We start from the raw sequence: 15,700 nt of genomic DNA on the forward strand, positions 1-15,700 counted from the left end.
AACAGAACCCTAACTAGGATCCAGTGTAAGTTTTTGTTTCACTCGACCTGTTTTTCATGTCAGACCTTTCTATCAGCCTAACTGTAACTTACATTTCAGAATTCAGAGATCTCCTCCCTTTTTCAGACATCACTTCCTCAGAGGCCTTATCCGTGAACCCCATGAAAATAGTCTCCACCCCACCTCCATTATACTCTGTCCCCGAACCTCCTCTATTTTTTCTAAAAACAGATATAACTATCAGAAATTGTACCACTTATTTACTTGTTTATTTTTTGTCTTCCACCAATCTTTTTGTTTTGTTTTGTTTTGTTTTTTTTTGAAAGTCTTGCTGTGTGGCCCAGGCTGGATTCGAACTCCTAGGCTCAAGCTATCCTCCCACTTCAGTCTCCCTACAAGCTGGGACTAGAGGTGTAATTTCTAAGAATTACAGAATTTTGCAGCAAAATATATATATATTTATATAAAATATATATATATCTATCTTGGGGTCAGCACCTTTCTAGTGTTTTTCAGTTTCAAGCAGTATCTTTGGATAGAGGCAGACTAGGAGGCATCTTGATTGCCATTAACACACTGGCTCTTGCCACCAATGTCTAAGCTCCATGAGGAAAGGAATTTATTTTGTTTATTGCTGTGTTTCCATAATGTAAATGTCAAATCCATTACTCACCACAAAAGCATGATTTGGAACCATTTTCCTGGTGAAGGTGTTTCAGATAGCTGAAGGTAGAGAGCTCTCTGGACTCTGAATCCCGACTTCCCTGCTCATTTTATCCTTCATATTCTTCCTCTTACCATTTTTACCAATAGGTTTTTTTAAAAGTAAACAAGAAATTGATTAATTTTATAAATTGGATATCAGAGAGGCTCCTTATATCTCAGAGGCTGTGTGGGAGATATTTAACAAGTACCAACTGGGAGTCAGTGAACGTGCATTCTGGATTGGTGATGTCCTTGGCCAGCCTTGGAGTTCTGGCTTCCTTGAGATCTGAGTCTTCCTATGGAAATCAAGATTACAGTGCATCCTCTCAGAGCCCTGCACTCCGTAGCATGCTAATTCTAGTTATCTACATTTACCTAGATGGCCTTTTCCAATTATCTATGTATATCAGATGGTATCTACATACACCTATATCTGATTCTCATTCCGATCTTTAAAAGTGAGAATATCTGAAATGTGCATTTGGCTTGTTTTGGGGTTTTCTTTGGTTTGGTTTGATTTTCCTACACTTAGCTAACCAGAACACAAGGGCCTTTTCAGGACCTAGCCAGTTTCCCTCCATTCTTGGAGTAGCTAAGGGCCAGAGAGATGTTACCAAATGTTGTTTGGATGGACCTAGGACCCAAAGCATTTAAGAGGTTTTTGGATCTCGGAGCAAGAAAGGAACCTTAGGAGATATGAGGACAAATACAAATATCTTTTGTATTGATTCTAATTCCAAATCAAGTAAATTGGAGAACATGAGAATAAATGTGGTATTTAATTTGTTACAGTTTCTCCTCCCATCTATGAAGAATCTTCAAGCTATGAAGAGATATGTGGTGCCACTTTTCTCCTTCAAATCTCCTTTCTCTGTTTTTCAAGGTCAAAAAAATCTGACCAGGATTGTTTCATTTCTTTAGTTGTTTTTTTTTTTATGAAAATGTAGTTAAGCTTTATTGTTATGTTTCAAATTAAGAGTTATGCCTTTGTGTTAATAATGCATGGCAAACTCAGCTATAGAGAGCTTTGCCTAGCAAAGCTCCCTCTCTCCCTTCCTGGTAAACTTTCTGATAGCTCCAATGTTGCACATGCATAAAGTCACTGACTTCACCCAGTATGTCCTGAAGAACAAGGGACTCTCACTTGGACTTGCACAGCCAAAGCAGAGAAAGTGACTCTATTCCCAAAGAAAATGCTCTCTTTGAAATCTCCAGACTTCAAAATAGCACAGTCATCTTCTTTGCTAAGCTTTACAACAACATGAGGAAGGAAAAGGATGATTACAGAAACTTTCTCATATCATTTTATGAAGTTAAATTTACCTACATATTATGTGCTTCAGTGTTTTATATTTTCTTTACAATTTTTTTCTTGCCTGAGTTGTAAATAATTTGCTCCCCCAACCCCCGCAACTTTTCTCCCCTCTGTTTAAATTACTCTGTGCTTTGCATTGCTTGGCATCAAGCAGTATCTTTGGATGGAGGCAGACTAGGAGGCATCTTGATTGCCAGCAAGATCTAACATTCAAAAATAAAGAAATGTTTTTTAAAAAGAAGATCTTTATTCAAGTGTGGTAAAACATTTTCTGAGATCATTCAGGAAGCTTCAGATTTGTGGAAGGGAGGCTGTATGCATATAGAATGTTATTATTGGAACTTTATTATTGTCACATTGATGTTACATTTCTCAGGAAATATATGCTAATGTGTTTCTACTTGCTTTTTTTAAGGCCTTGAGTAGATGTGCTGAATATTGAAGCTATTTGGCTGCCTAGAAAATATATCTTACAATTTATAAGCTGTATGTTATTATTTAAAAAAAAAATCAATAATCTCCCAGAATTTTGCATGAATAATATAGAGATAGAAACTTAGGTGATTTACATCTTATGGTATTCAGTTTTTAAGATACGTACAGATGACATACCAGGCAACCAATAAAAAACTATATAATGTAGAGATTTCTCAATGAAATTAAGATAATTTATAAAATATAGTTTTCCATTTTAATTGTCTGAATTTAAACAACAGAGAGGGGGACTGATAGAATTACAGAATTTTGCAGCAAAAAAATACATATATATATAATCTATCTATTTTATATATATATATTATCTATCTAATATATATATAATCTATCTAATATATATATATATATATATATATATATATATATATATCTTGGGTAGCACTTTTCTAGTGTTTTTGAATTTGTTTACCAGTGAAGTGGAGAACCAGGTCCAGCTCTTTCTCCCCTTGGGAGCACAAGTAGAAATCCCCTCATCCAGCTGGCGTTAAAGAGGTTAAATATCTAAATTCCAAAGTTACTGACTCAAGTATTATTATTAACTACTAATCTTTTACATGCTTCTAGCCATATTTATCCACATTTCCTCTGTTATTATTATAATTGTTTTAGCTGTCTTGTTTATTTCTACATGCAGTAACATTTCCTTGTATGGCAAAATTTTTAAATTATGAACATATATGACATGTATGACATGACATGGATGAAGTACCTATAAGACATCATATATATCGTATAATTATGTGTGCCTCACAAAAGACAAAGTTCTTCCCCAAAGTGACACATCGATTTGAATGATTTAAATATCCATATGCCAGAGATGCAGTACTGACAGAATGAACCACAGAGGTTAATATGTTGCTCCATATGGTAAGTATGGCATTGGCAAGACTTGACTTTGCTATGTTGTATGCGTCATTACCTCAGACCTGATGGACTGGGAGAAAATCCAAAGGAGATTTAAAAAAATAATAATAGAGAAGAGCCTTAGAAATCTATCAGAAGATTTAGTAATATGATAAGGGAATATTTAAGAGACAATGTATTTTTTAAAGCATTAATAAATGGAGGCAAAAATGTTGAGGAATACAGAATATATGTGATAAGTGACCACTTCCATTCATAGAGATTATAAATAAACAACTGAATGGAAAAATGGGTAAAGGAGATGAAAGGCAAGTCACAGAAAAGTGATTACTCAGACTTCTCAAAAAAAAATTGAAAACAAATTGAACTTATTAATATACAAAAAATTAACATTTAAAAAATGTTAAAATTGAATAGTCATTAAAGAAATACAGAATAAAAATAAATAAGATACTTGTGTACTGCAAATTGGCAAGAATTTAAAAGAATGCTATGAATCGATGTGAATAAGGATATGGGAAAACAGACATGCATATGCCGGCAGTGGGGGTGTAAATTGCACAACCCCTTTGGGCGGTAAGTTAGAAATATATTTCTAAAACCATGCAAATTTGCCTTTACTTTATCCCAGCTGTTTTATGTCTAGGAATATATTCTGTGAAATTACAGGCATGCAGAAAGACTACAGACATGCAACATCATTCATGATAGTTTTCAAAAAAAGAAAAAAATTAAATCCTGAAAAGATAAAATATCCAACAATCAAGTATTAGTTCTATAAACAATAGTATGCCCATTTGTAGAATACAAATGCTGCCATTATAAATCCTGTGCCATAAGAAAATTTGTTGGCAGAAAATATTCACACTATATTTCTAGCTGAAAAAGGCAGGCCAGATGTTAGAATCTATGATGTAACTTTTTGAAAAGTATCAGTGCATACAAACATGCAAACATGTATGTTCTATACAAAGAGAACACACACACACACATACATATATATATATATATATATAGAGAGAGAGAGAGAGAGAGAGAGAGACAGAGACAGAGAAATACTAGTGAAACACACCAAAATATTGAGTGATATTTTTAGTTAGGTTCCAAATAAGTTTGTTCTTTTTTTCCATTGACCAATCACTTTCGTAACTAGAGAAAAATTAAATTTTTTCATCCATACTCAAAAATGTATTTATTTTTGAATTACATGTCACTCCTTCTTCAATGAAGTATTTGTTTAATAGGTTTTTTTAAATGTTGTACATATATATATAGATGGTTAAGTATGTAGTAGGGGCATCTGTCTTAACTGGGTGCATGTAGATTTTATAATCTGTTTAATAGTTCACTTACCTGGGATATAATTATCCTGCAACTCCAACTCTCCAGTGAATAATTAAGAATGGGAATTAATCCATGAAAGAGCTCTAAAGCCTAAATGTATGCCATACAGTTACCTGCACTGAAACTGACAGTTTAGATATAGGAGATTCTTTTGAGGCATCTTTATTTTTACTTTAAGCATAAGTCTCATAAATTTGGTTTTCAGGTTCTCATAGATTTTAATCTGCAAGTTAGAAAAAGGCTGTCAGGGAAGGTGCAGTCCAGAGAGAAAAGAAACAAAGATGCTTTTTAAAAAGATTGAAAAGACAGTAAAGGAAAGGGACAAGATTCTTAAAGCATCAGATAGCATGTGGGAAGAAACCTGCTTTTAAGTAGTCTGACGTATCAACTCTCTTACACCAAAGTTTAGTTATTCTATTCATAATGATTTCCTAGAGTTGTGTGGGACACTGGGATACTATTTTCATTCTGTTTAAGAGTATAAGAAAGTATGTGCTACATTTTAGAAAGTTTTTCACTAAAAGTGGTTAAAACTTTTAAAGGTTTTCCTCAAAGGGTTACCCCTCAGTTACTTGGATAATTTCCTTATGTAAAATACTTTTTTTCTTGGCCAAGACAGTCAAAATGGGGCTTTGGTATGGGTATGTGTGTATGTATTCTCACCCAGCAAGTGGCTAGCGATAGGCTTTGATGCTTGGCATTGTAAGTACCAGAATAGCAATGAGTGTGTAAGATGGTCTTGGAGATGCTAAGGATTAGAAAGATCATCAAATAAAGATGATGTAGATGTAGAGACCTGCATTTTAACCTAAGTTATAATATTACTTAAGAGAGTAAAATATGACCAAACTACATCTGTCTTACCCATTGCTAGCAATTGTCACATAACCTAGTTCAATCAGGGTCTCTAAAAGGTCCAAATAATAGTCAAGTCACTTTCCTTTTTTCTGATATATTAAAAAAAATGCAAAACCTGGTTTTAAAATTGTGACATCTTTTTATTCTCTAATCTTATGTGAATGTTTCTGTGACCATATGTGTAACGTTATTTAAAGATGATGATTTAAAAGTCTAAATTTGAGGCCTCTCTTAAATGTAAAAGGTCTCTCACAAATGGCTCTTCTCTTCTTCCCCTTACTACAAAGAGTACAAGACTAAGAGTAGTTCACTTGTAATAGGGATGGGAGGGAGAAGAGATAAAAGAGTATCTGGAGCATGAGACACCCTAAACTTCTCTGAGCGCCTACAGTCTGATCCCTTAGACCAGGGGTCCCCAACCCACCTCTAATGGAAGAAAACTGCTCTATTTGAGTCTTTATAAATCTTATGAGGAGCTCTCAATTTCTTTATTTTGAACTACAAAGAACTGCTTGGAGAGTACATATTATCCTGAAGGGACCTCAAACAAATCTAGTTTTGTATACCTACACCAATAGAGAAACAAATTTCATATCAATCAAGAAACTCACAGTGGTATGACCTCACAATGGCAAGTGTTGGAAATTCTAGTAAACAAAGCTTGTAAAGGATTACTTTAAAAAGGAGTAATGTAGGTAAGTAGTTTTAGGAGAATATGGAAACACGCTTATAAGATAAATAGGAAAACAACAAAACCATGTGGCTGGGAATAAAATTTCCAGGAACAGTAGTAAACATGAATTGAAAAAGTTCCGTTACTTCACAGAACTCAGAAGTGAAAAATATTTACTTTAAACCAGTACGGGTTCCTCGCCTGTTAGAAACTGAGCTGCCCAGCAGGAAGTGAGCGGAAGGCCAGGGAGCATTACCGCCTGAGCTCCACCGCCTGTCAAATCAGCAACGCATTAGATTCTCAAAGGAGTGTGAACCCTATTGTGAACTGCACATGCGAGAGATCTAGGTTGCGCACTCCTTACGAAAATCTAATGCCTGATGGTCTGAGGTGGAACAGTTTCATCCCCAAAATATCCCCACCGCCACCCCTGTTTGTGGAAAAACTGCCTTCCACGAAACCTGTCCCTGGTGCCAAAAGCGCTGGGGACCACTGCCTTAGACTGAGCATCTATTTGATCAGTTGGCTCTCATTTTCTCTAAGTCATCCCTTTGCCTTAAACTGAGCATCTATCTGATCAGCTGGCTCTCATTTTCTCTAAGTCATCGCTTCCTTCCTTTGAACCCACCTTTCCCAGTATACCTCTCTTGCTCCATCAACTTTAAACATACTTTCACTTCCTCTGGAGCATCCTATACCCATCTCACTTTGTTATTTCCTTTAGGTTCCAGTTAGACCTCATTTTCCTTAGCAAGCCCCATTTCTCTACCAAAAATTGTTTAGCTTCCCCTTTTATTACTCTCTCATAGCACTTACTGCACTAATTATGATTGTTTACATAGCTACCTCTCTCCCTCAGACTTCTCTGACACTGCTCTGGAATACAAAATAGTAACTTAACTAGGAACTAGGTGGTCAGCAAACACAGCCATAGAATAGCATGGCATTGGCCTGGCTAGCTCTTATAAGAGGAAATAAAACAATAAGTTATCTCTTTTTGGGTTCCAGGAGACAATATATCTTTAACGTTATAGTTGTTTATGTTTCTCCCCTGTGATTAACATTCTCCTTGCATAGAAATTTACTGAGCCATTATTGAAAATGAAATTTCATGTGTCTTTGCTATATTATTGTTATCAGAACAATCTGTCATTTATTCGTGACATTCTAAATGTTTGACCTTGGATTAGAGCCCTTTGCAAATTTATCTTACATAACTGAGTCATCAAAACAGAATACATTATAATTTAATTATTACTAAATAATGTTAAGTTAATCAAAGTGGTATTTAATACAATTGTATTGGAAATAAGTAATGGGCTCTAAAATAATGAAATATAGACCAAGTATTTTGAAGAATTTGTATCTTTGGCTAGTTTCTTTTCCCTTTGAAAGTAGAAAAATAGTCTAAAATGGCTTTGCTGAACAGAAAATTGTTGTAATTCGCTGAATGATGCTTCCTGCCGTGCTATACTTTTTTGATGGAGGTTTCAGATTTTTTAAAAAATCACTTTGTTTTTACATTTGTTTTATCCATTTTTGAGTATTAGAGGTAATATTTTTCTACACATTACTTTGAGACACAAGAACTGGAATCATAAGGTTAAATTCAGATGAATTGTTGGCAAGACTACTAAATTCAAATGAAAAATTAGATTTTCTGCTTTATATGCAGTATATTAAATTTTCACTCCAAAGACCATAAAACAAGAAACTCAAGAAAATGCAGAGATTACTAAATTTACAGACTGGTACAAAAGCTACAGACATACATCTTTCACCCAAGGTAAAAGATGAGAAAAATATGCAAAGTTAGATAACGTGACCAGGGTGTGTGATTTCTGTTTTGCTTTTGCTAATGGGATGTATTTTCTTTCATTGGTAAATTAGGGCATTTGCTGTAGTAGAAATTACTGGAGAACTTGACTCCAGAAGAGATGGTTCCAGTAAAGAAACTTTTAGAAACAGACTGGTGTCATTACAGCAACAGCTACAATGATCTGGAAAATACATCACAAGACCTGCGGTCAAAGCATAATCTGACAGCAGCCCAGCACCTACTCAAAATGCATTTCATCTTTCTCATGTTTTAGAAACAGTCCAGTGGACATTTTTACAGACGAAGTTATGAGACAAAGTTTACAGACAAGTTATGTGACAAAATTTGAAAAAGGTTTTCCAAATTCTGTCTCATAACTCGCAAAATCAGAAAGCAAATGACTACATTATTTTTAGCTCCACAAAGATGCATCTTTATAGAGTTATGGTTTACTGTCATGCCTCCTGTTCTTAGGATCAATGCAAGAATTTTCAGTTTGTACAGCATTTCTGAGACTTTCGGGCAACCGTAGCTGTAGATAGTCAAGGTATTTTATTCCATGATGTAAATAATATCTCCATTTGAGTTTAATTCCAGGAAAAATTTGCCTGTACATTTATACAGATGATTTGGTACATATATATGAACTTGAGGAAACAAGGCTATGTAACCCTACATATTTATCTTTCTGCCATAGCTGCCAAAAATGTAAAATCAAAGTCAGTTCCTGAGAGTTATAAAATCTGCTATATCATCAGCTAGCTCCTCTTCTTAGTTTAAGATGGTCTAGATTTTTTTTAAATCCCAAATCTTTGTTTTAATCTACCAGACTCATCATATAGTTATCTAATTTGTGCCCTGCATTAGGGGGTACTTGGGAAATAAATGTAGACTGCAATCCATTTGCCTACCCAGAGGGGAGACCAGTTTTAATTTTCAAAAAGACAACATAAGGCTAGAAGTATTGCCAAGACCATAAACCCATTAGAATTAGGCTGTATAGAAATCATTAATAAATATAAATGTCAGGTTTAGGACTCGTGTAGCCCTCTGGAAAAGTATTGAATTATGATTGCTGTCAGGAAAAAGAAAGGTCAACATATGTCTCTGATTTATAGGTGTGGGTATACAATATATAAAACAAATATAATCAGATACGTACTGAATTGCAAGTATTTATAGAATAACTTCACGGTGAAATTATGTGTATATACATGCCTTTATTATACTTATGGCTACATTTTCAGTTTTGCTATCATGTTCAGGAAAGCAAAGCCCTTTCAGGGGACTTTTCAAACTGTGTCAAGGAAGGAAATGTGGAACCTGTAGTTTTATGCACTACCTATCTTATTACCACCATCGTAATAAAACTTTCATTGTAAAAGAAGCCGTTAAGAACAAGCCATTTTGGAGATATTTTATTGAGCTTTAAAAATATTCATGTTGTCTTTTAAAAATAGATTAACAGTGGATTAACAAAACATAGATTAGAACTAGAGAGTATCAAAAAAGAGTATGGAAGAAGATACCATAGCTATATACATGGTATATGTGTATAGCTAAACTCAAGTGATTTAGTCTTTAGAATTAGGAAAATCTATTCATTAGCCACAGAGTCAAAATGAAGATGAACATGAAGCCCTTTTTATGATCTCATGAAGCAGAGAAAATTTCATTATACCATGGTGGTGCTATTTCTCAAGCAAACTATTAAACCAGGATTTTATGGTAAAAAAAAAAAAATCAATTTGGACACTCATTTGAGTTTTTATTAAAAAGCAGCATTATGTTATGATCAATCACATTATCCATCAATATAGTTACATCTTCTGGTTGTACATATACATACAGAGATATTTCAAGTGATAGGATTTGATATGATTGTTTTTCTTTGTGCTTTTCTATGATTGCTTGATTTTTTATTTTAAAAATGCCTTATTTTACAACAGCAACAAAATTCATTCTAAAACTAGGGAAAAAAAGGTTTGACTTAACGGTTGTATTTTCAGTAATAAAGTGTGCTAACAATTCCAGTATATCATATTTGACTGAAAGATCTTGGGTGGGACAGTGGGAAGAGTGAGCACCAGAATCACTTCTTAATACTAACTCTATCATTTATTCACTGCATAACACAGTAGTTATCAACATTTATGTATTGCTTTCTATTTGCCAGGATCTATTCTAAATTTTACTAATTTAATCCTCACTATGAGGCAAGTGATATCATTATCCCCAGTTTACAGATAAGGAAAATGAGGCCCAGTGATGTATAGCTAGTAATAAGTGGCAGACTCTGAATTTGAACCCAGGCTCTAGAGTCCTTGTATTTAACCATTAGCAGTATACCGTCTCTCATATTGGGAAAGTCACTTCAGTTATCAGAGCCTCTGCTTTCTCATCTCAAAAATAAAGTGACTGGCTCCAGAATGTTTTATTATAGACAGTTTGCCTGGAAACACAGAAAGAATCAAGTGGCAGGGAGCAGTGAATTACCATATTCTCAGCGATCTTTCTCAAGTCATTGTCTTATATTTGTTTAAGGATCTCTAGGTTTGCAGAAACTAGCAAGAGTATAGTTAATATGCATACTTACGCAAAAAAAAAACCCATGCTGCTCGAAGAACGGGTCCACCCTGCATAGGAGTTTAGTTCTGATAAGTCTCATAATTGGAACCAGAAAACAAGTGTAACAGATGTTTTGACATTATACTTCTTCACAGCAGGTGTCATGGATAGCTATAACAGTTACAAACCTTTACCAGAAGTATGAAAACTGAAGGAACAGGGAAGAAACCTTCAGAGACTGTGCTATGTTTATCTTCCTTGATGAAGTGTATCACCAGTTTTGAGAACATTAAATGGAAGCTGATTTTTACCACGTAAAAGGTGAAAGCCTTGATGAAATGATTTCTGTGTTCCAATTTATTAGGAAAGATAAGATAAATAATTCAGAACTGAAAGTAGGAAAGAAACTTTTTTATAGAGAGTAAAAAAGAAACCAAATCCATGCCTGTAAGATGAACATGGAAGAATGAGTGGGTTAAAGAATACAGGAAGAAAAAACTCACATCTTATAGCCCTTAACTATTAACATTTAGATAAAGATGGAAGGAAAGAGGAATCTCGTTTAAGACATAGTTTACTTATACCTTAGCCACTTTCAAAATGTTCAGAGAAAGGAAAAGTACTATTCGACATCTATATCACTTTTCCTGTTGTGGCTGTAACAAATTACCACAAATTTTATTCAACCTACCACATTATCTTAAGACCCTAAAATGAAAAAATGACTCATTTGGAATAGGGACCTTCAAAACTGAAATTTTGAAATAATAGTGAAAGATCCAATATTAGCTAAGAAAAGTTAGACATACGCTATAATAACAAATAAATACTACATCTCAGTGGCTTCGTGTATAAAACAGTATTTCTTGCTCTTGGAATATCTTTTATGAGTCCTATAACTACAGAGCATCTCCATCTCAAGCAGGAACTCTGAGAAACCAGTGTGGGTTAATCTTATAACTCTATCATCTCGATATGTACCCTACATTTGCCATGGCAAGAGGAGCCCTAAATAGTTACATGGAAGCTTTTTACTCCCTAGTTCAAAAGTAACATGTCACACATTCATATTCTCTTGTCATATGGCCCACCTAGCCCTAAGGAAGCTAGGAAGTGTATTCCATGTGCTCGGGAATGAAGAACCAGATATTGATGTCTCTTAAGTAACTGATATGTTACTGCCTAGGATCCTATCTGGCAAGAAACTTTCTGTGAGACTAGCATAAGCAGGTTTCAAAATTTTTAATGAGCTGAGGTCATTGAAAAATATGAAGAGTAGTCAAGTTAAAAAAGTAAGATGAACATTTTGGGGGTTAGTGTTCAAACTAGGAAGAATAGAGCCGATACTTAGAAAAGATGTGATCATTTTAACAAGAGATAGGGCAAATCAGGAGAGAAGAGAAATTGCATAGAGGTACTTGTAATTCAAGAGTGACTAGGAAAGTTTAATTGCTTGGAGTGGGTTTCCTGGTTAAGATTAATTGTAGCCCAAAGTAAAAGAAAACCTGCAAGTGAGATCACTAAACTGTTGATAGTGATCTCAACACTCATGGAGAATAGAAAGGGAACTACAGCACTAAAGTCTACAAATATTGTCTTGATTTTTCACAAGAGTGAAAATATAGATTCTGAAACCTTTATACCAGAGAGCTTGATGATACTCTCTTACACAATTCTGAAATGGATGATAAAATAGATTGTGAGTCCATAGAAGGGAAAGTGATGGTCAAATGAAGCCAGCATGAACTCAAAAACATTTCTTTCTCTTCATTTCCTGAGAGAGCCTATACACTGGTAGATAAGGGAAACAGTGTGGTTATATCAGGGTTTCACTAAGGTTTTTGAGAAAGTTTCTCATGATATCTCTTGAGGACCAGATGAGGAAAGGGGTTCTAATTGATAATACAGTTAAGTGGATTTGTAACAAGTGGCAAATAAGAGAAAGTTTTTTTAAAAAAGTAAGAATAGAAAAATGAACTACAGCCAAATCATGAAAATCCTTATAAGCGATATTAAGGGATTTAGACTTTTTAAAATTATAATCTGTATTTACTAAGGCTAAGAAATGATAAGATTTGTGTTATAGAAATAACACTTTTCTGCAGTGTAGACAACGCTTAAAGCAAGCTAATACCAGAGACAAGCCAGGAGGTAAGAGGTGATGGTAGACGGAATTGAGAGAGTTGCAGTATAATTAGACAGTAGTTGATAGATTTGAAAGGCCTTAAGTTCATAAGGTGGACAGGGTTTTTCATTAATAGAATGTCAGAGTGGAAATACAGTGAAACACCAAACACTACACTCAGGAAGAAGACTTGAGCAAATTAGTGAATAGTGGTACCATTGGCTGATAAAGAAAGCAGATTTAGATTATGATAAATTTTAGGTAGCTGTAGGATAGCAAACTAGAGCTATCTGGAGGCACCTAGTTAAGCCCTGGAACAAAGGAGGAATTTAGGGCAGAGATCTAGGTCTAGATCTCTAGGAGTCATGAGCATATAGATGACAGTAAGAGCCATAGAAGTATATGAGATGATCTAGAAAGACCCTATAGACTGAAAAGAAAAGAGCACCTGGGACCAAACCTGGGGGAACATCAATGTTTAAGGAATTTATGGGCAGAAGAGACCAAGAGGGGGTAGTCAAAGGTGGTCTAGTGATTAGAAACTAAAGGAATAGTTTCAAAGAAGCAGTGGTCAGTAATGTAAAGTGCTACTGAAAAATCAAGAAAAAGAAGGCCCTGAGTATGCATAGCATGTAACCACAACGAAGCTAGAGCAGTTTCAATAAAGTAATGGGGGCAAAATCATATTAATATTATGGAGGGCCAAGAAAGGAGGTGAAGTAATAGAAACAGAGAATGGGGTGATATCTGGAAGGGGCTCAAAGGTAAGATTTTTTAATGCTCAGATGCTAATGGAGTCCATGGAGAAGAGGAGGTAGACCACACTTGGTAAGTAAATTATGCTAAACTGAGACCCAGCCAGTTATTTCTCCTAGGCCATAAATCACAGGAATATCATAGTGTTTTTTGAAAACTGCCAAGCTATGTGGATTTCATGCTTGTTACATCATGATGAAGCTTGGTATAGCCCCTTACTCTCTCCAAAAGTCAATCAGAACTGTAGACTTACTATTTCTCAATCAATCAAAAATATATACACAATTAAATTGAATCTGATCTTTATTACCTTCTGAGAGACACTTGTGTTTTTAAATCTGCTGGCAGTTCAGTGTTACACAGATTTTCTTAGTGACGGTTTCTATGAAAACACTTTAAAATGCAATTTACTGCTGTGATCAGTAATGGGGGAGGCTGTAAAATTTCCACTGTTCTAAATTCTACTCCCTTTGCTCTGTCATGCCTGGACTGTCATTTTTGTAAACCATTGTCTTCTTGTTGGAATTTTCTGCTGGAGTGTACATTGCTGTTGCTAGTGTTTTATTCGATCACTGGCGATGAGTTCTGTTTTTTTTTTCTGATATCGAGCATTTCAAACTGTTCCCTAATGAGTCTGCCTCTGTGCTCCAGTGCTGTTAACTTCAATAGATTTCCTATTGTGAGGATATGCTTCCAAAAAATAATTGACTTATTTTCCTTAGTGACTTTCCATTTTTATGGAATTTTCATTATTTCTAAAATTGTGGATTTTAGTTTACCTACCCAGAACTTCTCTGATACAAATTTAGTTTCAAAGTTTAAGTGGCATTTGAATACTGGGGACTTGAGAACTTTGATGCATTTATTCAGCAAACATGTATTGAGAACTACTGTATAGCAGCATCTACCTCGGTTTTGAGGTTCCAACTCACATAAGAAGTTCTGCACGAAGCTGACATTTGAGACAGAGTCAGACAAAGCTATGATTACTATTCAGTGAGATACGTGACGAATATTGCTATGGTATCATAGAAAAGCCTTTCTGAAAGTAACAATGCTGGAGTTAGGTTTTGAAGAATGCATAGGATTTAGCTAGATGAAGAAGGGAGAGAGCTAAGTTAAAAGAAAAAAGAAAAAAAAACAGGCGTGTATCTATTTTTTAAATAGGCTGGGCACGGTGGCTCATGCCTGTAACCCCTCAGCACTTTGGGAGCCTGAGGTGGGAAAATTGCTTGAGCCCAGGACTTAGAGACCAGCCTGGGCAACATGATGAAACCCCGTCTCTACAAAAAAAATACCAAAAAATTAGCCGGGCTTGGTGGCACATGCCTGTAGGTCCCATATACTGGGGGTCAGAAGTCGGGGTCGGGGCAGTTGAGGTAGATGAATCACCTGAACCCGGAAGTCAAAGCTGCAGTGAGCTCTAATCAGAACACTTCACTCCAGCCTGGGTGACAGAGTGAGACACTGTCTCAAAAAATAATAAAAATAAAAATTAGTCTATATTTTATATAAAGAAGCTGGGAGTCTGTGAAATGAGTTAGAAAAAAATGATGGCAGGGAGAATGCTTCACTTAAGAATACCAATCTTCTCCTAGAATTATAGCCTCCATTTTGTCATTCAATCTACCATTTACTTTTGCTTTGATATTCTTTTAAATCTCAGCTCTGTTCATCATACCTCTCTTGAGAAATCTTTAGTGGCTCAACATTGCCTTCGGATGATAGCTAGCATTCGAGACTCTCCAGAATCTAGCTTGAGTGTCTTCATTAATTTAGGGCCTACTGATCCTCTCAAAAATTGAAGTACTCGTTGTTCCCTGAACTCACTTCTCACTTTCTTATCTCCACCTCTGCTCAGGTTATACCTTCTACTTAGAATGCTCTTCCTTTCTGTCTGCCTTTTCTGCCATATCTTAGAATCATACCTATTCTTAGAACCTAAAATATCTGAAATAATTATTAGTATGTTCATGAATACCAATAATGAAAGTCATTTAAAATAATTATTAAAATAATTTTAAATTCAGTCATTAAAAAGAATTTTATGGGATTATTATGAAAAGATATATTGCTAGATAAAACAAAAGGGATATAATATAGTATGTTTAATCACATTTTTTAAAAATAAACTGCTGAGCAAACTTTAGGCATATTCAACCTGGTATTAACAGTCAT

The 15,700-nt window shown here is 35.0% G+C and overlaps 1 protein-coding gene across 17 annotated transcripts in view, besides 1 other annotated feature; it reads left to right on the forward strand.

Annotated features, from left to right (window-relative positions):
• Nucleotides 1-15,700, forward strand: part of FER (FER tyrosine kinase) — a 448,945-nt gene that overhangs the window by 395,510 nt on the left and 37,735 nt on the right. Inside the window, exon 17 of one of the 17 annotated variants that reach the window (XR_007058589.1) lies at nt 10,797-10,962. The exons of the other annotated variants lie outside the window; for them this stretch is intronic. The gene's annotated coding sequence lies outside the window, so the exon portion shown is untranslated. The remainder of the gene's footprint in view (nt 1-10,796; nt 10,963-15,700) is intronic. 17 annotated transcript variants of the gene reach the window in all.
• Nucleotides 12,329-12,529: a silencer, noted in NCBI's record as "peak5410 fragment used in MPRA reporter construct". NCBI's record gives its function as "represses an SCP1 promoter by STARR-seq MPRAs in K562 erythroleukemia cells {active_cell/tissue: K562}" and the evidence as "EXISTENCE:reporter gene assay evidence [ECO:0000049][PMID:32103011]".

Source organism: Homo sapiens, chromosome 5 (assembly GCF_000001405.40).
Source record: "Homo sapiens chromosome 5, GRCh38.p14 Primary Assembly".
Taxonomy (NCBI): Eukaryota; Metazoa; Chordata; class Mammalia; order Primates; family Hominidae; genus Homo; species Homo sapiens.